Source organism: Homo sapiens, chromosome 14, assembly GCF_000001405.40.
Source record: "Homo sapiens chromosome 14, GRCh38.p14 Primary Assembly".
NCBI lineage: Eukaryota > Metazoa > Chordata > Mammalia > Primates > Hominidae > Homo > Homo sapiens.
In genome coordinates this window covers 79,145,493-79,169,512 of record NC_000014.9, presented here as the reverse complement: position 1 = coordinate 79,169,512, position 24,020 = coordinate 79,145,493, and the positions used below count along the sequence as shown (strand labels likewise).

Sequence of the window (24,020 nt, the reverse complement as noted above, 5' to 3'; positions counted from 1 at the left end):
GAGAAAGAAAAGGTGAAAAAATATTAGATTGGATTTTTTTTGTCATTGGAGTAAAACAGGCACCTTCAAGTGATAGATTGGCAAGATATATAGACATCAAAGGGACTGCAAAATCTTAGGTAGTAAGTTTACAAAAGGACTAATAAGAGAATTGTTGAAGTGTACTGAGGCTGCAGGTAGAATCTTGTGTGGCTTTTGTAATTGAGGAAAAGGTGTATTCCAGTTGTGGCCATAGCAGAGTGAAAAGAGTTAAAGGGCTGGGAGCATGTAGCATTCTGACAGCCTATAGTCTCAGTGAGTAGGATCCAGGCTGTGAAAGGCAGAAAATCTTTCTTTCTTTCATAGTAACAAACGCTAATCTAAGGCAAAGTGTAAGATGTAATTCAACATATTTTCAAGGGTGACTGAGGATGGAAGGGAGCATCTGTAACCCACAGTCTAGAAAACCATTATTAAGGAATGAATGAATGACTATCCAAAGCAAGCCAGCCACTAACCAACTGATAATCACATATTCTTTCATGTGCTATGTTCAATATTGTGAGAACATCACATGAATCAGAGAAGTGCCCATAGTCTCCATGTTCCCTTAACTTGGAGGAATTTGTACTCTAATGAAGGAGGCAAAGTAATGCACTTAGTAGCACAGGAAACGATACCACATACTATAAATTTAGGTATTACATTTCATGATAAATTTCACATACAGAAACATAAGTGGTGATTTTTGTGTCCAGGAAAGACTTGGAACTGACTTTTGAAGGAAATGCTGCATTTGCGAAGGTAGAGAATGTAGTGAAAGTCATCACAGGCTTCAAGAAGAATACAAAGATGAACACGCATGATAGGACAGTCAACAGGGAGGAAACCAGCCTAGGTAGAGTGGAGGGAAGAAACAGGAGATAACATTGGCCTTGTGGGGGAGAATATTATCAAGAATAATCAGGAAGAGAAACTTAGCATTGTCATGGTAGAAAAAGAAAAGCACCTAAAAAATTTAAAAACATCATATAATTATCATAATTTTAACATGTTATTAAAATACAGAAGTAGAATGTAAGACACTTTCATAGAAAATGGTAAATTATTAAGTTTGGTATGGAGTAAAAAATATTCCCCTATACTATCTATTTTTTCTATTGAGATCTAATATGTGAATATCAACTATCTCCCTCTAACAACCAACTTTAAGGTAAATATTATCACACAACAGTTTTGCTGGGTCAAGTAGATGGCAAGAAAGCCATTTTGTAGTACTAGAAGAGCCTTTGTGCTAATTCCATCCTGTATTATCCCCTGCCAATAGATTTGCTCTCTTCCCCAACGTGGGATTGATGCAGAGTGACTCAGTACATGGGTGTGATATGCTGAGGATTGGGTAAGGCTCAGCACACTGGTGAGATAAGGAGGGTGACCTTACAGTCAGAGACTCACAAGGCCTAGCTCAAAATCATTGGATACTTATGCCACTATTGTCATTGATTCTGTTTCAGCTCAGATAGATAAGTTATGGGCTGGTTTCTCCATCTCTTTTCTCTGAGAATCATAAGTCCTGAAGGTAAAAAAAAAAAAAAAACAAGGAAAGAAAGAAAGAAAAGAAAAGGCAGGTAGATTTGGGGTGGATCTATATGAGAAGGGTAGGACCCAGATGGTACCTGATATATCTGCAGATAATGCTGGCTGAAGCAGGTAGGGGCAAGAGGGAGCTTTTGGCAGCTCCAGAGAGGTGGGACTGACAAGGAAGAATAAGTTGTAACTTTAGGTGAAGAAAATCCCATGAGAAGTGAACCAGAGGTGAGAAGACCAAATGTTGAGGCATAAAAAATAAAGTAGCAGATGAAATGGTAACCTGCAATTAGACATCATTGAAGAAAAAAAATAACAACAAAACCTGGTAGGAATAACAAAAAAAGGAAGAAAAGTAAAAGCAATTTTAAAAAAGCAGAACAGATAAGAAAGAATGTTTTGATCAGAAACACTCTGAGGATTGGCCTTCCTGAGTATCTGAAATTTGAACAGTGCCCTAATGTGGGCTGGTCATCCATCATAAACTGTTAAATATGGGAGGCTCTTCAAGGTGAAGAGAACTTTAGACAGCTAGGGAGAGAAGACACATAGAGTATAAGGGGAGCCCTGAAGAAAGTCACACTAGTTACCTCCTCCTTACCCCAATCACACTAACTGGCAATCAGAAAAGAAACCATCCATAACATGTAAGTGGGTCAGTGGTCACTGGTTTCCAAAGACAGGTTTATTGGTTTTATTTCAGGGATAATTCAATAAACAGGCTATTGTGGGAAGTTTGATGTAAATAAAATTCCTTCATAACATATCATGTGGCCACCATCACTGTAACATTCATATTACTTGAAAATAGCACAAAACTGGGCTATTGATACACATAGGATAGGTTAATTTTCAAATTGTCATAAAAATGTAATAATCTAGTGCTGAAAAAGTAATTTCAGCATCAAACTTCTTAGTATCTCACTGCATTTGCCAGGATATACCAGGGATAACACCACTAACAGTGATAAATATTTTATCATCTGTGCTCTTGAATGAGAGGATTAAAAGAAATCAATGTTTTCTGAGCACCTACTGTGTGCCAGGCACTTTATTTACAAAGATAACCATATGCAATTCTCATAGCAAATCTGAATGTTAAGATTAGTGTATTCACTTTGCAGATGAGAAAATGGAATCTCAGATAGATGTAGCATCTTGCTCAAAGTCCTACACTTTACTAAGTAACAAAGGCAAGAATAAAATACAGGGATATCTGGCTTCAAAGATGGTTCTTTTTAAAAAATCTATTCCACACATCCTTCCTAAGAAAAGTTATGGTAACCCTGCCAATGCCCATCTTACTAATCCTTGGGTCTCAGCACTAAAAATAGAGAATCTTCTTAATATTTGGGCCAATATCAATTTTCATTCCTCTGGACAAGAAAAAAAAACTAAACAAAATTAAACAAAAAATGAGCATTTTCAACACATACTAGATGAGATTCTACTTGAATTTCTCAGTTATTACATTCAAAATATCAAGGTCATCATTTCTGATAAATTTCCACTTTTTATAGATGAACGTTTGTGTGACTCACAATGGAATCTTTGGGAGATTTGCCCATTTTAATCAATGCAACAATAGGAGGAAAGAGGAAATGCTCAAGATGGATGTGTCAGTGATTAAATTAGGTTTGACCCTCAAACTGAGAAGGAGCCGGCATGATGAAAGATCATTTGTACTACTTTTTAACTACTCCAGAATTCTAGGCAGTGTTTACCCCACCAAAGGGAAGAAGATTTCAGACCACCTAGCATGTGTAACACATCCCTTGAATTATTTCCAGCTATACATTATTTAGGAGGAACTATTTTAACATGATATTCATCAAAAAAATAATTTCTAAAAAGGGAGTAAACCAGTACTGAAATCAAAGGCAGCTGCAGAAGGAACTGTAGAAGGGCATGCGTTTTTAATATTGGAGCAAATAGAACATTCTCTTCCTGATCCCCAGTTGCATTGTGATGGCCATTTGTAAATCATTTTTAATTGTCTTATTAAGCAGCTTAGAGTGCAGCAATCAAAAGCTCGTGGTGTTGTGAGACCTGGCATAGCCATCAGGCACGGATCAGCAGTCAGGGTAATAGAAGATGCAAGATTATATAACCAGTTATGGTCAGGAGGGAAGGTGGTTTGGGGAGAAAGGAGTACATGGTTGTTTCTGAAGAGATGCTGATCTCAGACAATATGAAACCTGACATTATAGTTCCAGGGAATGAAGACCCCTCCCTGTCCATGCACACACATCAGTCATGTGCAGTCTAATGACTGCACTGGGAAAAGCCAACTGTCAAAAGCAGTCATCTCTCTTCAAGGAGAAATTTCTTATGCAGTATTCTAAATCATGACATAAAGACTGTTTGCAAAACAGGCCCCAGAGGTTGGATTGTGTGTGTCTGCATAGATTCCCAGTAACCAGATCAGGAAGTTAGATTCTTGCTTTGATGAGAACACACAAAATCGCATGAGAGTGGAACCTTTTCTTTAAGACAAAATGAAACTTTAATTTCATGAAGAAAATTTTCTGAGGTGAATGCATTGTGCCACAACTTTGTGATTCACAGTTATGACACCTCTAGACCTCAAATAAAAGATTCCTTCTCATTCTTCTACAGACTTAATTGTCTTACAATGTCCTAAAGACTTCTAGTGAAAAGCAGCCAACTTTTGAATTAATTATTATGCTATTTCAGGCAGTAGCAAGGAGAAACAGACCTGGTCCTTAGAAGTGGACCTGGGCAAGCATATGCTACATTCCTAACCAAGGGATCCAGTGAAATAGATTATTCTTCATAGGCCATCTCTTACTAGGCAATAACCATTTGCAACTCAACCACCAACCGCTGGCTAAAAATGAGGAATGTTCAAAGAAAGAATTCATTAAATTAATGCCAATTTAGTTGCAAACACATTAAGAGAATTTTTTATTAATACTACAATATTAGTGGGAAAAAAGTCTGATATCCTGGATTTATAGCTCCAAAATTATAGCTCCAAAATTATAACATAAGTAATACATAGTTTGCCATTTATGATTTGATTTTCCAGCTATAGGTAAAAATATTTTAAGTCTGCTTTCATATGCATGTGGCCTTGTCTAGAGAAAGAAACCATAAAATTTCAGTAAGGAGACTGTTGGTCAAATGTTGTGACAGTCTTAGAAAACTCACAATTACTATGCATTTTTCTGAGCAATGACCTGTTAATTTCTCTTAACTTTAGATTTTGAAATAAGTTTAATTACTTGTATAGTATAAATAATCTAATTTTAGGGAAATAGGCATGACAAAAGGGAAAGAATAGAAATAATTTCCCACATTTTCATAAAGTAGTCCCTTTTCCCAAATTAATCCTCTCTAGGTTTAACTGTGAGTGTAGCATTTCAAAAATATTTGGTAAAATATGTCAGAAGTTTCTCCATGGAAATTATGATAATTCTGCAATGGCCATAGTCCATAGCTTTTACCAAAGAAATTAAAGTAAAATAAAATGATTATTAGACACATAAACAAAATGGACTAGATGTTTACTTTTCAAATGAAAATGCAGAAAACAAGGAAGGATATATGTAAGCATAAATGTCACTTCATTTTGTTGTCAGGATTTAACCATGTTTTGCTTGAGAGCTCAGAATAATCCCAGTCTGTTGGATGCAGGCAAGATACAGCATCTTTGTGCTTGATCCTGCTTTATCAGATATGTTTATGTATGCTAAAGAATTCAAAGATATATAGTTAGAGTAGACATAAGAATTACAGTGGAGAAGAGTATCCTAAGAAGAAGAAGTGATAAGTGACAGGTCTAAAGAGCAATACAAGGGACTACATAGAAAACTTATTCATAAGGTTATTAAGGAGAAGATGAGAAACAAATTGGTAAGTGAAGAGCTAGTGAGGTCAGAGTAAGATGTTCAAGACAAGGCTGAGAATAAAATGTAGGTTGAAGAGGATTACTTTATGGAATCTTGGTTGAACAAGTTCAGCATGAATTAACAGTTTAAAGGAATCACACAAAAACAGACGAGGAAGAAAATATTATTGTTGTTGTTGTTGGCATTATTTTTTATTATAACAATTATTTTTAGAAAAAAGTACTATAAATAACATGGGAAAGGACATGATTTTTATCCTCACTGTACCACCTTTTGCAGTTCATTGAATGAAAGAAATTCATTTGGCAGGGCTAATTTTGTAATTAAAAACCTTATCATAGTTTTCTGTAATGAGTTAAGCAAACAGACAGTAATTCAGTTATAATATTCACACAGCTTATACCAGGGGACATTTGCTTACTAAATTAAATAATATGGAGGAATAAGGAAGAGATAAATTACAATGGGGGTAAACAGAGTATATCAAGGACAAGAAGGAATTCAAACTTGTCAGGCCATGACTGGATTTCTTATATTTGTACCAGGACAGGAATTTAGTAATTTGCATCTCTCTTGGGATAGAAGACACTGTGACCAATGACTTCATTAGAATATGGTTTTGTTAAGAATTATGGTTTATCTCTCTTGAGAGAGATGGTAAATAATCTACTTAAGACCAAAAGCCACCATTTTCTCCTTTCTCATAGAAGGAATTATTTTATTATAATCCCAAAGAATTTCCTAGAAAAGCCTTATTCACCTGGGCTTGAAGAAGAGTACAGTACTTGTTTCACAGAGCAGAGAATCAATGATGGGAGAGTGAGGTTGGATTGTGGTAAGCCTACCAAGCCTCTGTGAGCATAGACTATAATTGCTCCAATGGCAGTCTCTAAAACTACTGATAAGTTTATTTTTGTAAACATGTCAAAGTAACCCTAAGGTCCACCACTTATCAGGTTCTCTGTTTGAAAAGCAGTTCTCCCAAAGTGAAGCCCATAAAGACCCATAACATTCAATTACCAAATTTAAATGCTGACTCAAGAGTTAATTCAGACACATGCAGAGAGACAGAGAGAAGAAAAAAAGGAAGAGAAGGAAAGGGAGTGGAAGGGATGTAAGAGAGGAGAAATAAAAGAATGGGAGGATAGAAGAGAGTAGAAGGAAAAAGAGGAGGAGCAAAGAGAAATGAGGATAGGCAGGGTGGAGAAAATAGTGATGGAAAGGGGAGGAAATGGGGAGTAGAGGAGACACAGCCTCAGTACCAGGGCACCTGGCTTTGTCATTAGATTTGGTAATTCATGTAACAATCAGGCCCACCTTGCTTGCCTTAAAAAATAAGTAAACTATTTCTCCACATCTTCTCCAGCACCTGTTGTTTCCTGACTTTTTAATGATTGCCATTCTAACTGGTGTGAGATGGTATCTCATTGTGGTTTTGACTTGCATTTCTCTGATGGCCAGTGATGGTGAGCATTTTTTCATGTGTTTTTTGGCTGCATAAATGTCTTCTTTTGAGAAGTGTCTGTTCATGTCCTTCGCCCACTTTTTGATGGATGCACATATACACCATGGAATACTATGCAGCCATAAAAAATGATGAGTTCACGTCCTTTGTAGGGACATGGATGAAACTGGAAATCATCATTCTCAGTAAACTATCGCAAGAACAAAAAACCAAACACCGCATATTCTCACTCACAGGTGGTAATTGAACAATGAGAACACATGGACACAGGAAGGGGAACATCACACTCTGGGGACTGTTGTGGGGTGAGGGGAGGGGGGCGGGATAGCATTGGGAGATATACCTAATGCTAGATGACGAGTTAGTGGGTGCAGCGCACCAGCATGGCACATGTATACATATGTAACTAACCTGCACATTGTGCACATGTACCCTAAAACTTAAAGTATAATAATAATAAATTAAAAAAAAAGAAAAGCTAACCACAAAAAAAAAAAACAAAAACAAAAAATAAGTAAACTAATTGCCTCAGGTAATGTAGCTACAGTTGGAAAGACTATTCAAACCCCCCTTTGAAAGTTACTGTCTTGAGATAAGCCACAGGGCCCTAATTTTATACCTGAACCCGCAGCTTAGATGTTCTTAGACTTTGAACTACAGTCTGGGCTGTCTTTACCACTTGTTTCTACTCGTATTTTGCTAAATTCCATGGGATCTCATTATTCCAGTATCTTTATTGTTAAAGTCAGTGCAGGCAGGGGATCCCAGTCACTTTCCTTTGCACCCTGTGTCTATCCTCATTAAAGCATGACCCGTTCAGGACGACGGACAGCTCCCTGTCTCCCAAAGCAAGTATCTACAAACTAGAGGCTTCACTTTGCCATTTTAGTCACACGTGGAGTGCATCATGGAACAAAGCAAATACTTGTTTTTGCTCAACTGAGAGATTTTCAGCTTCAAGTGAATGATACGTGCCACATCCTGGGAACTTTCAAAGATATTTCAAAACACATACTGAACACGCTTTAGCATACATCCAATCACATTTGCCTTTTCTTTCAATCTTTCTAAATGGGACTTTGTTAAAAGTCAATGCAAATAATCATTGTGTATCAAATATATGCCGTGTCAAGATGTTTCTGCCTAGTGATCTGCATTGGAGAATGTTGATTGAAGCAATCAAATGTCAAATGTATCTTATCTTCAGAATACAATTGACAGAGACACATTCTCTGAAATTCTAGAATGCAGAAGTTTCTATAGTCTGGGATTAGGAAGTGAGTATAAACTTCTCCAAGTATCTATCTTACAAATAATTCTTCAAAATCTATTACATTAGACGTCACAGATGAGTAGGAATATGCTCCCTGGAAGACAGAATTTTGAAATTTTCCCCACTTCACTCTCTTTCTTCCCTACCTTCAAGGCAAATTATGGTATTATTTAAAAGAGGTAAGTTATTCTCTCAATATAGGAATTCAAGTCTGTGCATTATATGAAGAGGAAGAACAAGAATTACACATTTAGTAAGCATTCCAGGTTACATGGCTTAAAATTGAATGCTATGATAATCCCCTTAGCAATAGACGTAAGAGAAGTTCCCTTGCATTATTATTTACAGATTCCTTTTCCATAGATTCACTGCTATGTTGTACTGAGCACACCAGCTATTTGTATAAACAGGCTAGTTACAGAATATAGCAAATAATTAATTATCTCTGGTTGAAGCGTTGTCATGACCTCTTCCCAAGAAGCTTTCCATACCACTGTCTACTTGCTTCTGCCTTCCCTCCTTATGAGGCAACAGCCTACCACCATGTGCCATCTGTCAGCTTCTGCCTACAACACGTGAAGCCTCTTAAGTATCTGAGTATCATTTTAGATCCTATTTTTCAGGTTAAAAGCAGTAAATTGCAGATGGCAAGTGTTTTTTTTTCCTTGAGATTACTGAAAGCTGGGATAATTTTTTCGTGAGTCACGTTAAAAAAAGAACAAGTGATTTTATACAGCACCTACTCAACACGAACATGTGCAAAGAACAGCTATCCACCCAGCCATCCATTCAGTAAAGGAGGGAAGGATTTTGCTTTATGCTTTATGGTGACAGATTTCAGAGTGAGAGAATGTGTTGTAGTTCAGTGTGCTCTGCAAGCACAATCACACGATGTGTGAGGATGCAGGTGAATAAAGCAACAAAACTAATGGGGCACCTACAATGTGCTAAATTACAAGAGGCACTACATAGAATGGACTAAATTTAAAAGCTGGGGAGTGGGAGAATCCAGGTCAGAGAAAGGACTAAAATCATTATGGCAATGACAATTTAACACACAGAGTAAACTAAGATTAAGAATTTGTATAAAGAGTTTTTATTTTTCTTCTTTTCAACTATTTATGTTAAAGTTCTGGGCTTCAAAATTCCTGCTACAACCTAACTTTCATTCTTTGAAATGAGGCCATTTCATAAGCACCTCTGAAGAAGGAGTATTGCAGCAAAGATTTAGTGCTGAGGAGGAAAAGCTTTGGGTGATACTGGAACCATGAAGAGGGAAGAGGTTACCTCAACTCTTTCTAGCCAGCTTTGGGAATTTCCTGCAAGCCATTTCATTCCAATGAGTAATGCTGTGTCTTCAATTTCCATTGAGATTTAGCACTGGCCATATATGTAGATGGATATATGAGGGGTCTTCCAAAAGTTCGTGGAAAACGCATATAAGAAAAAAATGCATAAATTTCTATTTGGCTTTGTAGCAAAATAAACTTGTACTAACTTGTTATAACATGTCTGAACATGATCTAGTTTGAGGGAGTAAGAGAAAAGGCATTTGTTTTAAAAGTGCTCCTATCAGAGCAATACAAATTCTGCTAAAATTGAAACAAGGACAGACATGAAATTTATGGTGAAGCTTGGGTGAGAGAATGGTAAAATCACTGATGCTTTACAAAAAGTTTGTGGGGACGATGGCCAAAATAAATCAGCAGTTTAAAAATGGATATTTTTAGGAAGGGATAAAATGATGTTGAGAATGAAACCTACAGCAGCAGACCATCCACTCAATTTCTGAAGAAAAAAATAATCTTTTTGTACCCTAATTGGAGAGGACTATCAATTAGCAGCATGAACAATAGCCAACGCCATAGACACCTCAATTGGTTCACTAACAATGCTTACTGAAAAATTAAAGTTGAGCAAACTTTTCACTCAATCAGTGTCAAGACCACTGTGCTCAGATAAGCTGAAGACAAGACCAGAGCTTTAAATGAAAATTTTAAACAAGTGAGATCAACATCCTGAAGCATGTCTTTGAAAAATTGTAACAGGAGATGAAACATGGCTTCATCACTATGATTCTAAAAACAAAGCACAATCAAAGCAATGGCTACCAAGAGGTAGAAGTGGTCAAATCAAAGCAAAAGCAGATTAGTCAAGAACAAAGGTCATGGCAACAGTTTTGGGGGATGTTCAAGACATTTTGCTCATTGACTTTATGGAGGGCCAAAGAACAATAACACCTGCTTATTATGAGAGTATTTTGAGAAAGCCAAAGCTTTTGCAAACCACAAACAAAAACACAAAACCACTCAGGAGAGCTTTACCAGAGAGTCCTCATCCACTACAACAGTGCTCCTGCTCATTCTTCTCATCAAACACGAGCAATTTTGTGAGAGTTTTGATGGGAAATAATTAGGCAACCATCTTGCAGCCCTGATTTTGCTCCTCCTAACTTTGTTTCCTAATCTTAAAACCTCTTTAAAGGGCACCCAGTTTTCTTCAGGTAATAATGTCAAAAAGAATGCATTAGTATGGTTATATTTTCAGGACCTTCAGTTCTTTAAGGATGGACTAAATCACTGGTATCATAGCTTACAAAAATGTCTTGAACCCGATGGAGCTTATGTTGAGAAATAAATTTTTTCTATTTTTATCTTTTAGTTCAATTTATCTACAACTTTCTGAAATCCCCTTGTAATTCTTTAATTATGCCACCATCTTCAAAGGTGAGCAATGATAAAGGATAAATCCACATACCTCAATATGAAAACCAGTGATGGTAGTAAAGAAGGGTGCTTATTCAGCAAGTAGGTGAAATAAGTACATTTGATTAAATACTAACATCAAATCACATCTTCCAAATAATATTTCTTTGTTTGAGTGGCAGCCATAAAAACCTGAAGCTTCATACATCATAATAGTAGGTATTTATGAGTTCCTCAAAATGATTTCTGCCCTAAATTGATACCACATTAACCAACTCATTAATCTCACTATTAGATATTCAGGAATGGTACTTCAAAGTAAATATATAAATAAGTTATAACTTATGTGATTTAGAAAGGTGTGAGGTGCCTTAGCAGAGACTTTTCTACACAACCTAAGGTGAACATTGGTTTTGATTTTAGGGAGATAGAAAGAAATACTTCTGAAAGAGAGTATACACAGGGGGAAGTCACCTAGCATAAAGGAGAATAAATCAACCTGCATTTGAGTATGGGTGGAGCAAGAAGTTAAAAATACAAGGCCATGTCAGGAAAAAGAAATTATTATCTTCTTAATGGACAGAAAATCACAATTTACAAATGAGGACATGATTCTAAGAAAGATCTTTACTCAATCACAATCCCCTTCTCATCCCTGACTGCATAGCGGCATTTCAGAAAAAAACAATATGCAAACAGTCAATTTTCAAATGGCAATAGGTGAAAAGTGGTACTTACTAGTCCCCATCACAAATATCTTTCCCTTATAAAATGCTTCTCAAGCCTAAAATATTTCTCAAGTCTTTTGTTATAAGTAATCCTTCATATTTTCACTTCTCTCTTCTCCATCATCCTTCCCAACAAAGTACCTAGAGTTCTCTCACCAGTCTAACAGGTAAGAATTTGAAATGATGTGATCAATATGAATTTTGAGTCACTTATCCATCAAATGACAGTACATAACTTTAGAGTCTCCAAAAGGTTTCAGGAGTGTTTCTTTCAAATGCTGATAGGGCAACTATTCCCTTAGACAGGGAATCTATGAGGATGACAGCTTTTGGCTCATGTCATGACAGGACATGCCAAGATAAGTATTTGCTGCTTTCTGTAATTGTACAACACAAAAGTGAGACACAAAACCAGCTTATGCTGATTTAAAAGCAAGCCTCAGGGATTCTGGAAATATTATACTAGCCAAAAAGCAATCCCAGCTTTGTCCATTTATTTTCTGGTTTCCACAGTGACCCCAAGGTGGTAAGACTCCCGACAGCTTCAGTAACCACTGAGCTTGACCAGAACCTCCAAAAAATATCCTTCTCCAGGAAGACAAGCTGATAGAGATGTTGATTCAATGCTGAAATCAAAGTGAAAATATTTAGATATATGTCAATATGCAATCATTTTTATATCTCACTGCTATACCTTGAATATTAAAAGAGGTTTTATTAAGACCCAAAGGGTTCTAAGCATGTCCTGTCTCTAAGCAGAGAAGGAACCTTTACTAAAGGACAAAGCAACAACAATAACATGACCACCAGCAACAATGGCAGATACCAATTAACACCAAAATAAGCAGAAAAGTATCACAAGTTGAGGTAATCTCTAGCTGTGGTTAACCAGAGTAATGTTACAAAGTCTGGAAATACCTTTTATTGTCACAACTTGGGGGATGCTCTGGGCATTTAGTGGATAGAGCCCAAGAATGCTGCTATACATTCTACCATGCAGAGGACAGCCATTCACAATGAAGAAGTATATGACCCACTATGTCAGCAGTGCTGAGGTTAAGAAATTCTGCCATAAAAAGAAGTAGAAATGGGAGTGAGATTAATTACACTAGCATGGTAAGCTACTAGTGGAAGTCATTGCTGCCAATTCCAAACAAAGTCTTCTTTACTTGGATTCTGTAGACTTCTGGAATTTTTCATTTTTCTCTGGCTCTAAGACATCTCTCAGAACCTCAGTCTAAAATTTGTCTTCACAGTCTTCTTAATAAAATAGGATTCTGTTAAGGAAGTAAAGCAATACACTAGGAGGAAGAAACATTGAGCATTCATTTTTAAAATGAAAAAAAAATCCAGAATGGTCATTAAAAGGCTTTTGTCATTGTTTATTTTTGTTTATTTGTTTAACCTTGCTTCCTGAACAGCAATCCAAATTGTAAAATTTCATTTTCCAATGGTACAGGAGTTTCTGATTGTCACTCTTAATTTGTGACATAGACCATAAACATACTTTTCAAAAAATAATGAAATATAGCCTCTTATCATTATTAGTAATACTTTTTTAAGTAATAAGATTATTTCAGGAAAGGTTAAGATTGCAGGTGCCAGATCAGATTGCCTGACATGCTAGCTGTGTGATCACAGCAAACTAAGAAATTGCTCTAAGACTTATTTTTCACATCTGTAAAACGGTTACTCTAATAGCATTTACTTTATGGAGCAGTTGTGAGGGTTGAAGTAGAGTATCCGTGTAAAGCACTTCTTCTGGGATCTGAATAAATAATCATTTAGTAGTTTCTTGTTGTGATGGTTGTTTTATTATCTATAATGGAAACTTTGGTTTAAAGAAGTTAAGTCCCTTATTACTTCAATGAAGAAGTGAGGGAAGAGAGAGATTTTTAAAATAAATGTAAAAGATATAACTTCCCAGAAATTTAGGTTATATTGTTGAAAACATCTATGTATAAAAGTAAAATCTCTACAATCAAAATAGATGATGACCCCAATGTTTATGACTATGTTTTTGATACATTAAATGATTTGAAGTCATAATGAAAAAATACACTGAATCATTCCAAATTATACTTATGCAAAATTATTAACTTTTAAGTTTTCTTTTGCTCTTTATTTCCTCAGAGAGAAAATAAGCACTTATATATCTTTAAAAGCCTTTTTAAAATCTGCCAATCTCCTTTATTTTTTTTAAATGAGGACTAATTCTTGTCTTTTGTCAGGCTATAATACATAGCTAAAATATAACAACATAATTTGTTCTTAAAGCTTTTATTTTTACAATTATTTTTATTTATGAGAAGTAATACCGACTTTTCATTTACTTTAGAATTATATATTTTGCTTTCAAAATAAATATATTTAAGTAAAATAAATCAACTTAAAGAAGACTATTAAGTAAATAACAGTGCAAGTGATGAGTGAATACTACAAAAACGGTGAAGGTGGTATTCATATGTCACAGGGATAGGAAATACTGTGCAATGACAATACCGTACCTTTTTCATGACTCATCTTTGAATGAGTATCTAAATCATGTCAATTACATAGGTTCTTATATAATCTACATTTTATCTATCATTTTGTTTAATATGTTACTAACAAATACAGATGTGATGTATTATATCCAAAAGCTAAATGTATTTTAAGGCTTGAGAGTTTCTTGTGATTGGTCCTTTCATTCTGAAACACATAGCTTTATATTTCTCTTCTCCAGCTTCAGGAGGATGCTCCACCATTGATGAAGGAAGGGTCAAGAGTGAAGAAGGGATGCTCCATGTGGCAATGTGACACCAATTTTCCACGACGGGGAGGAAAAAGTCCAGTAGTTGACAATGAATAGGATGCCACAACCTCTTGAGTGAAAGGTAACCTGTATGGTGGACTCTCAATCTCTGTATACTCATAAGAGATCCACAGGGGAACATAAAGAGAGAAGTAAAATGTGTTCAGAAGTTTAAGATTCTCCAAGGTTTAAGCTGGTCAGTTGATCAGTCAAAGGATGAAGATTCAGTTTTACAAGACAAGAATTAAGAAGTTTTACTTACATATACGAAGTTGCATTGGATTACGTTTCATTACCATAAAAATAGTCATAAGACTATCAAGTAGTTTAATGATAATGTAGTCTATATTGTGTTCTGTAACCTTTACACAGCTTGTGCCTGAATTGCTCCTTTGAATCGTCACAAAGTCTCATGATATAGGCAGGGCAGATATGATGGGAATTTTTTCAGTTGAGAAAACTGCAGTCTAGAGAGGTTAAATGAGGCCCAGAAAGGCCAAGCCACATATCAAAATACCTACAATAGCCTGGCAGGTATATAAATGTGTGAATAAGCTTACCATAATAAAACAGGGAATGATGGGGCTTGAGGCAAAATTTGAGAACATATGACCCAGCAAAAAGCATTACAATTCTAAAGGCTTAAAAAAACATGTTGCCAAACAGTACATGTTTGTGGGGGAAGATTTCACTCTCAGAAAACCAAATCACTCTTTCTTGTAGTCAGTGAAACTAGTCTCCTCTTCTGACTTTTTCAGCTCAACTGAATTCTGTGAATAGCTATTCAAATCTTTCTCTATGTCATAGTCTCTGCCCTCCAAGTGTTTAAAATGTGATTGGGCATTGACAACATGGCTATCAGGTGTGATTATGTGGGTTGCACCTTGAGCACCTCTAGAAGAGAGAAGCCATTCACATTGCAAGCTAAGTGAATTGAGTTGGGCAGTGCTCAATACACAATGGCCCCCAACTACCCTGGTTGGTTATATTCCTGGTATATAAGAAAATTAAGTAAAGTAAAAGTCATAAAAGAGTAGTAAGTGCTAGAAAAGCCAAAAGGAAAGAGTTTGCAGGCTATTGGCGAGTTCCATGCTCTTCGCTCTTTGGGCAATGACTAATCCTGCGTGACCCTGCTTCTTCCATAAAGCCCCAGGCAATGCAAGGAGTGTCATATGGACTTCTGTGAGCATCTGTGAGGATGCTACTCCTTCCAAATCTGGATTTCTTAGCTTCACAGTCATTTTGTTCTTTCACCTTCTTCTCTTCTGGGTTCCTACCAAGCCTGGACTTCTGCATTTCAAATACTGGATAAATTTAAAAAATGCATTAAGGAGAATGGGTTGGGGAAGGAACAAGCTCTGATAAATTACCAACGAGTCATTTATTATGATATCCTCATGAAGAGAAAAAAGAGGTCTACTCAGGAAAAATGTTAGAGATCTTTAGCTGTATGTTCTCCTGAGAAACCTTCATAAAAGAAGACTCAGTGGTGAGCAGCCCTGGGTTTACGGTCTTCTCAGGATAACATTTCAGTAAAGGTGATTGAGATATATCAGTTTAAAGGGCCCAGGACAAGAAACTTGTGGGCTCACTGACATATTAAGCATTTATTCAGTAGCTCAATGGGTGGATCAAATGTAAGGTTAGGAATGTTCTGCTCTGATTGCCTAGGAGTTTCTTTCTCTCTCTTTCTCTCTCTCAAATAAAAAGAGGAAATGCTTGTCTTTTAAGTATTCTGCTTCTCTTCCACATATGCATATATAATCATATTCCTAAAATTACCATATTCCCTTTTCAAATAAAGGAAGAAAACCTAGCTTGAATTTTAAGAAATCTTTTATGAAAATGGATAAATGTTTTGAAAATAGCTGTGTTTAACAGCTTTAGACAGATACATTGCAGTTAGGCTGATACAGGTCAGTTGGTAGGTCTCATGTTGGGGAGATAATCAGTTTTAAGATGAGTTTTTCCGGAAAATCAAAACTGCCTTGGAAGCTCATTCTCCACCTCCTTGCCCATCCTTCCCAAATCAGGAAACATTTCCTATCCTATTACAATAGTTATCAGTTGGCTTCCTTAATCTCATTGTTTTGTGAACCCTAGATTTTTAGGTTACTGAAACAGAGGGAAGTGAAAAATGGTTTAGCAGTGACCAAGAATAAAATGCAAGCCCACAGGTGTCATTTCAGGGTCTCCTAACTGTCCTCAACTCATGAGATTGACATTACACTTTTTAAGTAAAGTTTCCACAATTGCCTTTTCTTCACAAACACATAAAATTGTGTGTGCCTCTGATATGGTTTGGCTGTGTCTTCACCCAAATCTCACCTTGAATTGTAATAATCCTTACATGTCAAGGGTGGGGTCAGGGTGAGATAACTTAATTGTGGGAGTGATTTCCCCCATACCAATCTCATGATAGTGAATAAGTCTCAAGATATCTGATGGTTTTATAAACAGCAGTTCCCCTACACAAGCTCTCTTGCCTGCTGCTATGTAAGACATGTCTTGCTTCTCCTCCACCTTCTGCCATGATTAAGAGGCCTCCCCAGCCACATGGAACTGTGAGTTAATTAAACCTCTTTCCTTTATAAATTACCGAGTTTTGGATATGTCTTTATTAGCAGTGTGAGAACAGACTAATATAGCATCTGCATTTGAATGCATGTGTCAATGGTGGGGAGTAGCGTATGTCATCATAGACTGCCAGTAACTCCAAGCCAATTCAAAACAAATCCACTTTGATGAACTCCATTTTGTTTTCATTTAGTTATCAAATTAATACTATGCACCTATTCTGCAAAGGGATTTTAAAGGTGCAAATAACAAGATAGTGAGATGCAAGATAGTTGTTTCTGGTTTCTAACTAGTTGACTGCAGATAAAATGCAAAAGCATTCTATCGCTGTCCTCCCAGTTCTTCTCAAAATGCTCAGTAAATGATTGTTGAGTGAAAGAAGGAAAGAAGAAACAGCACGGTGTCTGTAGAAACACTGTTCAATATAGCAAGTGGCTCAGAGTTGAAAATAGACCCAAGTACACAATATGGTAAAGCAAAAGTGTCTGTAGAAAAAAACTGGGGATGAAATATGTCTAATTGTTAGCACATCACTTCTGGGAGGATGACAGTAATGACTTTACATATTTTATTTTCTTTACTTGCCAATTTTAATATCATGGAAATATGTTATAGTATGAAAATATAAAACACTATTTTTAAAAGAAAATAAAGTATATTGACTTAAAAATTGCAAATTAGAAAATTAGTGTGGCATAAATTCATTGAAAACATATTGTAGGGATTTAGATTTAGTCTGTGCACTCTGGGACAATTGTCTCAGCAACTAAGAGGCTGCTGACACATCACGGTGTCTAGATCTACCCCAAAAGTGGACAAATAGGTGAGATTCCCATTATCAGAGTCTGGAAATCTCAGATTCTCAGAGGCTGACTTCCTTGAGGCCCTGTTCATTTGAGCTCCTAATTTGAGCTGGCCATTGGTTAGGCTGCTTTCTTTTATCTCAGCTCCTTGAGCAATGAATCCAGTTTCCAGGACAGCACCAAGTCCAAGGACCATGTGGATCATGGAACAACTCCAGTTGATTCGTGGCATCAATCAGTATTGGCAGGAACCTCCTGCCCCTGTTCTGATGGAACGATGAGTGGCGTTCTGTTCTGAATCAAAGATGCTCCCTGCCATACTTGCTATGGTTTTTGCAGCTGGAGGCTCACCTCTGTTCTGGGACTCACCCCCAAGAATGTTCTTTGCAGGGAATTGTAAATAATTATAGGAACTTCAGCAAGTATACAATAGGAGCCTGTATGTTTTTGGAAGTCTTGAGGCTTTACCATTTCTAATCTGAAGATTTACCTCACCCACCAAAGGCAAAATGGTATCCCTTGTGGAGTAATAGAGGCTTAATATCCTGGCACTTTCTACTGGGGATAAATCAAATTTCAACATCAATCAATCAGGCCCCAGTTCACCCCTTTGTGATACAATTTTTAATAAATGCATGTCTTCTGTTAGTTAGTATCAAGACCTAAAATTCTTTCAGAGCCTGATCATATTTTTAAACAAAAGGACTTTCAGAAGGATACATTCTCTTTTCATGGAGACAAGAAGACCCTCGAAAACTAGTTCCATTTAATTTTGTGTATGCAGGCAACATCACCTGTCACATGTACTGCTGCACTGGACCTTTGGACTTCTGCTGAATTGCTGGCTCCAATAATGGCTGCCATGCAGCTTCTGCCTTCATTTAAGTGACCATTGGTTTCAAATCATTTTGATTTTTGAGTAAAGTTTTAAATTGTATAACTGATTTGGTTTGCCTTCTTGGAGTTTATTCTGGTGTTACTTAATGAAGCTGTAATTTCTTTTTCTTTTTTTTTTTTTATTTATCTAATTGGGTTAATGGTATCTGCAGAGAAGTAGCAGCTCTTATTTTTAGCTTATGTGGTGGATCTCCTACTGGGAGGTCTGATCTTCTCAGTAGCCAGGTCAGATGGCAACCATGCATGGAAGGTGGAGAAGTGAACTAAAGCTGGAAGTGTGAAGGGGTGGCTTGGGTTAGAATGCAAGGAACTCTTGCTCCTTTCTCTGCAGATCTCTGTTTGGGAACATGCACAGAAATTAGCTGAGGGTGTTAGTCACATCTCTCACCCTATTTCTGCCAAGTTTCTCTATCTGTACCCACCCCACACACATATGACATACTTTTCTACTGCTGGTGAAGGTGGTGGGGAAGAGAGGTGGGGGTGGGGGCGGAGACAGCTATAGGCAACCACCAGAGTGAGAAATGCACAATTTTAACTATTCATTCCATTTCAAAAGTTGGACACATCCTTGCTTAATATAGAAGCTGATCTCCCCCATCTGGCAATAGGGATCAGTAAGAAAAATTTTGAGTGAATTCAGAAGTGTCCATATACACACTGGAACCCATAATTTGTGATGTGGATAGTCCATAGTCATTTTCAACCACATGCAAGGGCAAGACTTAGAATGGAACATGTTAGACATGCTTGCCTGTGTTCTGTGTGAGAACACTTTTGCTTAAAAAAAAACAGTGGGGAAAGTAATGTGTCATTTTATTTTAAGTTCCACGGTACATGTGCAGGATGTGCAGGTTTGTTACACAGGTGAACGTGTGCCATGGTGGTTTGCTGCACCTATCAACCCATCACCTAGGTATTAAGCCCAGCATGCATTAGCTATTTTTCCTGATGCTCTCCTCCTCCCCTCCCCATGACTGGCCCCACTGTTTGTTATTCCCCTCCCTGTGCCCATGTGTTCTCATTGTTCAGCTCCCACTTACAAGTAAGAACATGTGGTATTTGGTTTTCTGTTCCTGCGTTGGTTTGCTGAGGATAATGGCTTCCAGCTCCTTCCACGTCCCTGCAAAGGACATGATCTCATTCCTTTTTATGTCTGTATAGTATTCCATGGTGTATATGTACCACATTTTCTTTGTCCAGTCTATCATTGATGGGCATTTGGGTTGATTCCATGTCTTTACTATTGTGAATAGTGCCACAATGAATATACGCATGCATGTCTCTTTATAACAGAATGATTTATATTCCTTTGGGTATATACTCAGTAATGTCATAGAGCACTTGATTTTTTCTGAAAGATACAAGGAACAAATAATCACCTATGCTTTCAATCAATTTTCTTCCAAATAATAAGTCAGAGTCCCAAGAAAACTAGTGCTTTCTCAAGCCTACCTTCTCTTTTCTGTTAGCCTTTGAATTACAATTTGAAAAAAAAAAAAATCCCCCTATCCAGGATGCTGACACCAACAAATAGCTATGGAATGGTGATGCCAGGTCAAAGGTCAGTGCAGACTGGGTTTCAACGTGAAGATCTGACCTTTGGACTTTGGAAATGATCTGGCTTCCCTCGCATCCCCACATTCCCCCTTACAGAGTTTCCTACCAGTTCTTGTGTTGCTGATCTCCCAAGATTTTTATGAGAATTACATGAAGTAATATTTACTGAAACACTTGTAAAATGGTAGTGCATAAAATACTCATGTGAGGTTTTCACCCTCTTATGCATCAAAGGACAGGGAACATATTGAGGAGAATGTGGGGATGGAAAAAAAGATGTTAGGATTCTCACTGCTTACTTTTAAGGTAATAGCTTCTGTACTTCTCATTTGGATATGGTGGACTTTAAGGGCAAAAATAAACAAACTAATTTGGGCTTTCCACAAAAAAGAATAAGAAAGGCATGGGAAAAAAACACTCTTTAAAGGGAGGATTTGTGGAGAAAAGGAGAAGAATGCTAAGAAATTAGTAAGGCAGTCCAGGGGTTATATGTGGAAGGGGCCAGAGAATGTTTATTAAATTGGCATCTGGATGATTGCAAGGAAAGCTATTTTAATCTCAATCTAGGGAAAGAACTGAGGCCTAGGCAGGCCTTAATTTCCCCAGGATCCAAGGGAGATGAGAAAATCAGTTCTGTTTTTAATTCGCAGGCTGAGTATGTCCACAAAGGAAGGCAGTGAAAGTGAACCATGTTCTTATGAAGTCAGCAGAAAGAAGATGAGGGACAAGGGACTGGGTTCTGCTTTGAGCTACTTGGCATCAATTTAACAATGTGTCCAACAGGCTCATGAGGGCCTATAGAGCTAGAAGTGCAAACACATCCCTACTCCCGAGTCTGAAATAATCTTACAATACAACAGCAGCTTGGCTCTGTATCTGATTTATCAGCAAGCTAAGTTCTTTCCCACCTCAGGCCTTTGCTCTAGCTGTCTCAGCTTCTGGGAGCATGCCTCCCTAGATCTGTGAATGGTTGGCTCTTTTCAATCATTCACAACACTGTTTAACTCTCATCTCTGCAGAGTGGGCTACCATGAACCCTCTGAGCTTCCAGTAAACCCTCCTCCCATCCAGTCACTCTTAAACAATTTTATACCACTAACTTATCTGTTCACTTGCTTACTGTTTCCTCCTTCCTAAAATGAAAGTTCCATAAAAGGAGGGGCCCTGCATATTTTTTTTCACCATCCAGAATTTAGAACGGTGACCAGAATACATGAATTTTTATACGTATGATTCTGTCATGAATAAATGAGGAGAAGGTCACTGCTGGAGACAGGAAAGTAGAAGGACCACAAATTCCAGAAATCTGGGCTTTAAAAAAGACCTCCCCATCCACCTACTTTTCCCATTTTCAGCGCAGTGGCAAGAGGAAGCTTTCTAGTTAGGAGAAAAAACTGCATAGAGAGCTGTCACCTTGGGAAATGATTTAGGTGAAGTTTCTCAGAGTCCACTTTAAAGGACTTCGATTCTTATAGTAAAGGTGGCATCTGGAAAGCAACGATGCCTTGCTGCCTGCATCCATCCCTGGTCACTTCAAAAAGGACCCCACTGTTGCCTGCCTCCTGAATATGGACAATGAGAAGCATTTGATACAAAACAAAATATGCCTCTGCTTGTGAAGGCTTCTGGACAAAGTTGGAGGGGGTCTTGCCTCTTGATTTGGTTTGAAAGGTATTCGTTAACTAAGTGCTAAAAGAGAAAAGATTCCTAACAATCACTCTTCACAAGAAACTAGGTTCCTCAAGTATAGAAGCTTATTCTCTCCTATCTTAAATGGGCGAAATTAAATAGGGCACTGAGGCAATGAGGCTTTCCCAAGATCGCCCACTTCCAGCATCCATCCCTGCGATCTACAAGGCGCTACTTCCACCTCCTTGCGAAACATGACATGCAGTCACTTGACTATTAAGTTATTCCTCATTTGTCAACAGAAAAGCTGCTAAATTGCTACTCTGAGAAAATTTACATAGAAATTACCAATGATACTCAGCAAATGAAGAAAGGAATTTACAACAGAGAGGAGCATAAGCATTCAACGTCAGCTCTCCCCGGAGCTGCTGGCTTCTGCACACAGCAGTCACTGCAGGGTTAAGAGAAAGGAGAAGAAACTTTGACTGGGAAACAGAAAAATTAATTGGTCAGTGATCTCCTTCTTTTCTCTCACCCTCTTACACCCATTTGGATGTCTTTTAAATCTGACCTGCTAACATGCTGGTCTTTTTCATCCCCCTCATACATCTTTCTGCTGTTCCCCCTCCCACCTGATAGAAGAGACTCTGCTCTTAATTAGAACTTCAAGCCCATCACCAAAGGTTAATTGCTCAGTTGTTGCTGCTCTCCTCAGTCTCAGCAGTTGCTGGTGTTCACTGGTGTTCAACTTATGGCCACATTCAGTTAAGAGTAGGGGGAGGAACCTCCCCCAGAGTTCATAAGGGCCAAGGCTGCCTCTCTTCCTTCTGCAAATGTCCTTCTCCTTTCCTTCCGAGAGCTCCCTCTTAGATTCAGACAGGGCTTTCCTGAAGCTTTGCCCAAGGAGATGGATTCTGCTTTGCTGTCCTAAATTACTCTCTCCTTCCAAGATTAGACTGCGGCCTTGGTTTACCTGGGCAGTGGTTTTGCTGTCTATGTAGGATTTGTGATGCACGCTCTTTTCTCCAGGCTCTTTAAGACCTGCGTTCTAAAGCCTATCAGACCTCATGGTTGTCACTCTTTTTTTCAAGTCCACTCCTGACAACTCTACACTCCAGGAGAGTGAAGTTCCTTCCTTCCATGCTATCTTATCAGATATTATAACTTTATCTAAAATGAAAATAAAGCTGAACATTCCATTCTCATATCCTTGAATTTGTCATGTTACTATCCTACCTAGAACACCCTCTTCTCCTCCCATACATACACTCAAGTCCAGAGGATTCCTTAAGAGCCTTGGTGTTGTGTTGTCTTACCAACTTGATGCTAGAGCCACAAGGCAGGACCATGCCTTGTAATTTCATAATTTTCTGTAGTGGTTAAGAGCACAGGCTCTGGAGTTCATCTTGAATCTATTGCTTATTCACTGTGAGACAACATGAGAGCTACTTGATTTCTCTGAATCCTACTTCCTTCATCAGCAAAAATGGGGACTATTGGGACTTACATAACAAGGCTATGAGGATTAAATGCAATAATGCTTGTAAAATAATTACCACAATAAAAGCGCAATAAATTAGGCAGCTTATTATGGAAAAAACACAGATTTTAGAGCCATGAAGAGCTGGTTTGGAATTGTGCCTCTGTTGTTTATTAGCTGTGTGAACTTGAATCAGTTAAGTAACACCTCTGTGCCTCAATTTCTTTATCTACAATATTTGGAAAAGGTTTCACTAGTTTATAGAGGTAACTAGAACCATGAAGGTATTAATAAATCTTGGATGTCTTTCCTCTATCCTCTTGCCAATTATTTCAAGGAAAAGTTTGGGACTATACAACAGAATGATACTCATGCTTACTTATTATACAATGCAATAGGTATATAAGTGTGATCCCATCTAATATCAAATGAGTCCCTTTTAATTTTCTCTTATTGCAAGGAGTACCAAGGAATTAATTGGGAGTTGTGCATTGAAAGAGAAGTATCATAGAACAATTGCAAAGGTAAAGATTCCAGATTATCCTTTTGAGGAAGACCTGTCTGGCTGCTCCTAGGAGCATTTGAGGCTGGTATAAAAACAATATCTTATATAAATGTATCTGTGTAGGCTCTACAACGGCTCATTAAATACTCTCCACAGTACTTCA

At 37.5% G+C, this 24,020-nt stretch overlaps 1 protein-coding gene across 52 annotated transcripts in view, besides 1 other annotated feature; it reads right to left on the bottom strand.

Moving 5' to 3' along the window:
* The window catches only part of NRXN3 (neurexin 3), a 1,697,919-nt gene that overhangs the window by 698,779 nt on the left and 975,120 nt on the right, over positions 1-24,020 (bottom strand). The gene's annotated exons all lie outside the window — the stretch shown is intronic.
* Positions 9,275-10,474: an enhancer, noted in NCBI's record as "MED14-independent group 3 enhancer chr14:79625382-79626581 (GRCh37/hg19 assembly coordinates)". NCBI's record gives its function as "activates an origin of replication core promoter dependent on BRD2, BRD4, P300/CBP and CDK7 cofactors, and independent of MED14, by STARR-seq in HCT116 cells {active_cell/tissue: HCT116}" and the evidence as "EXISTENCE:reporter gene assay evidence [ECO:0000049][PMID:35650434]".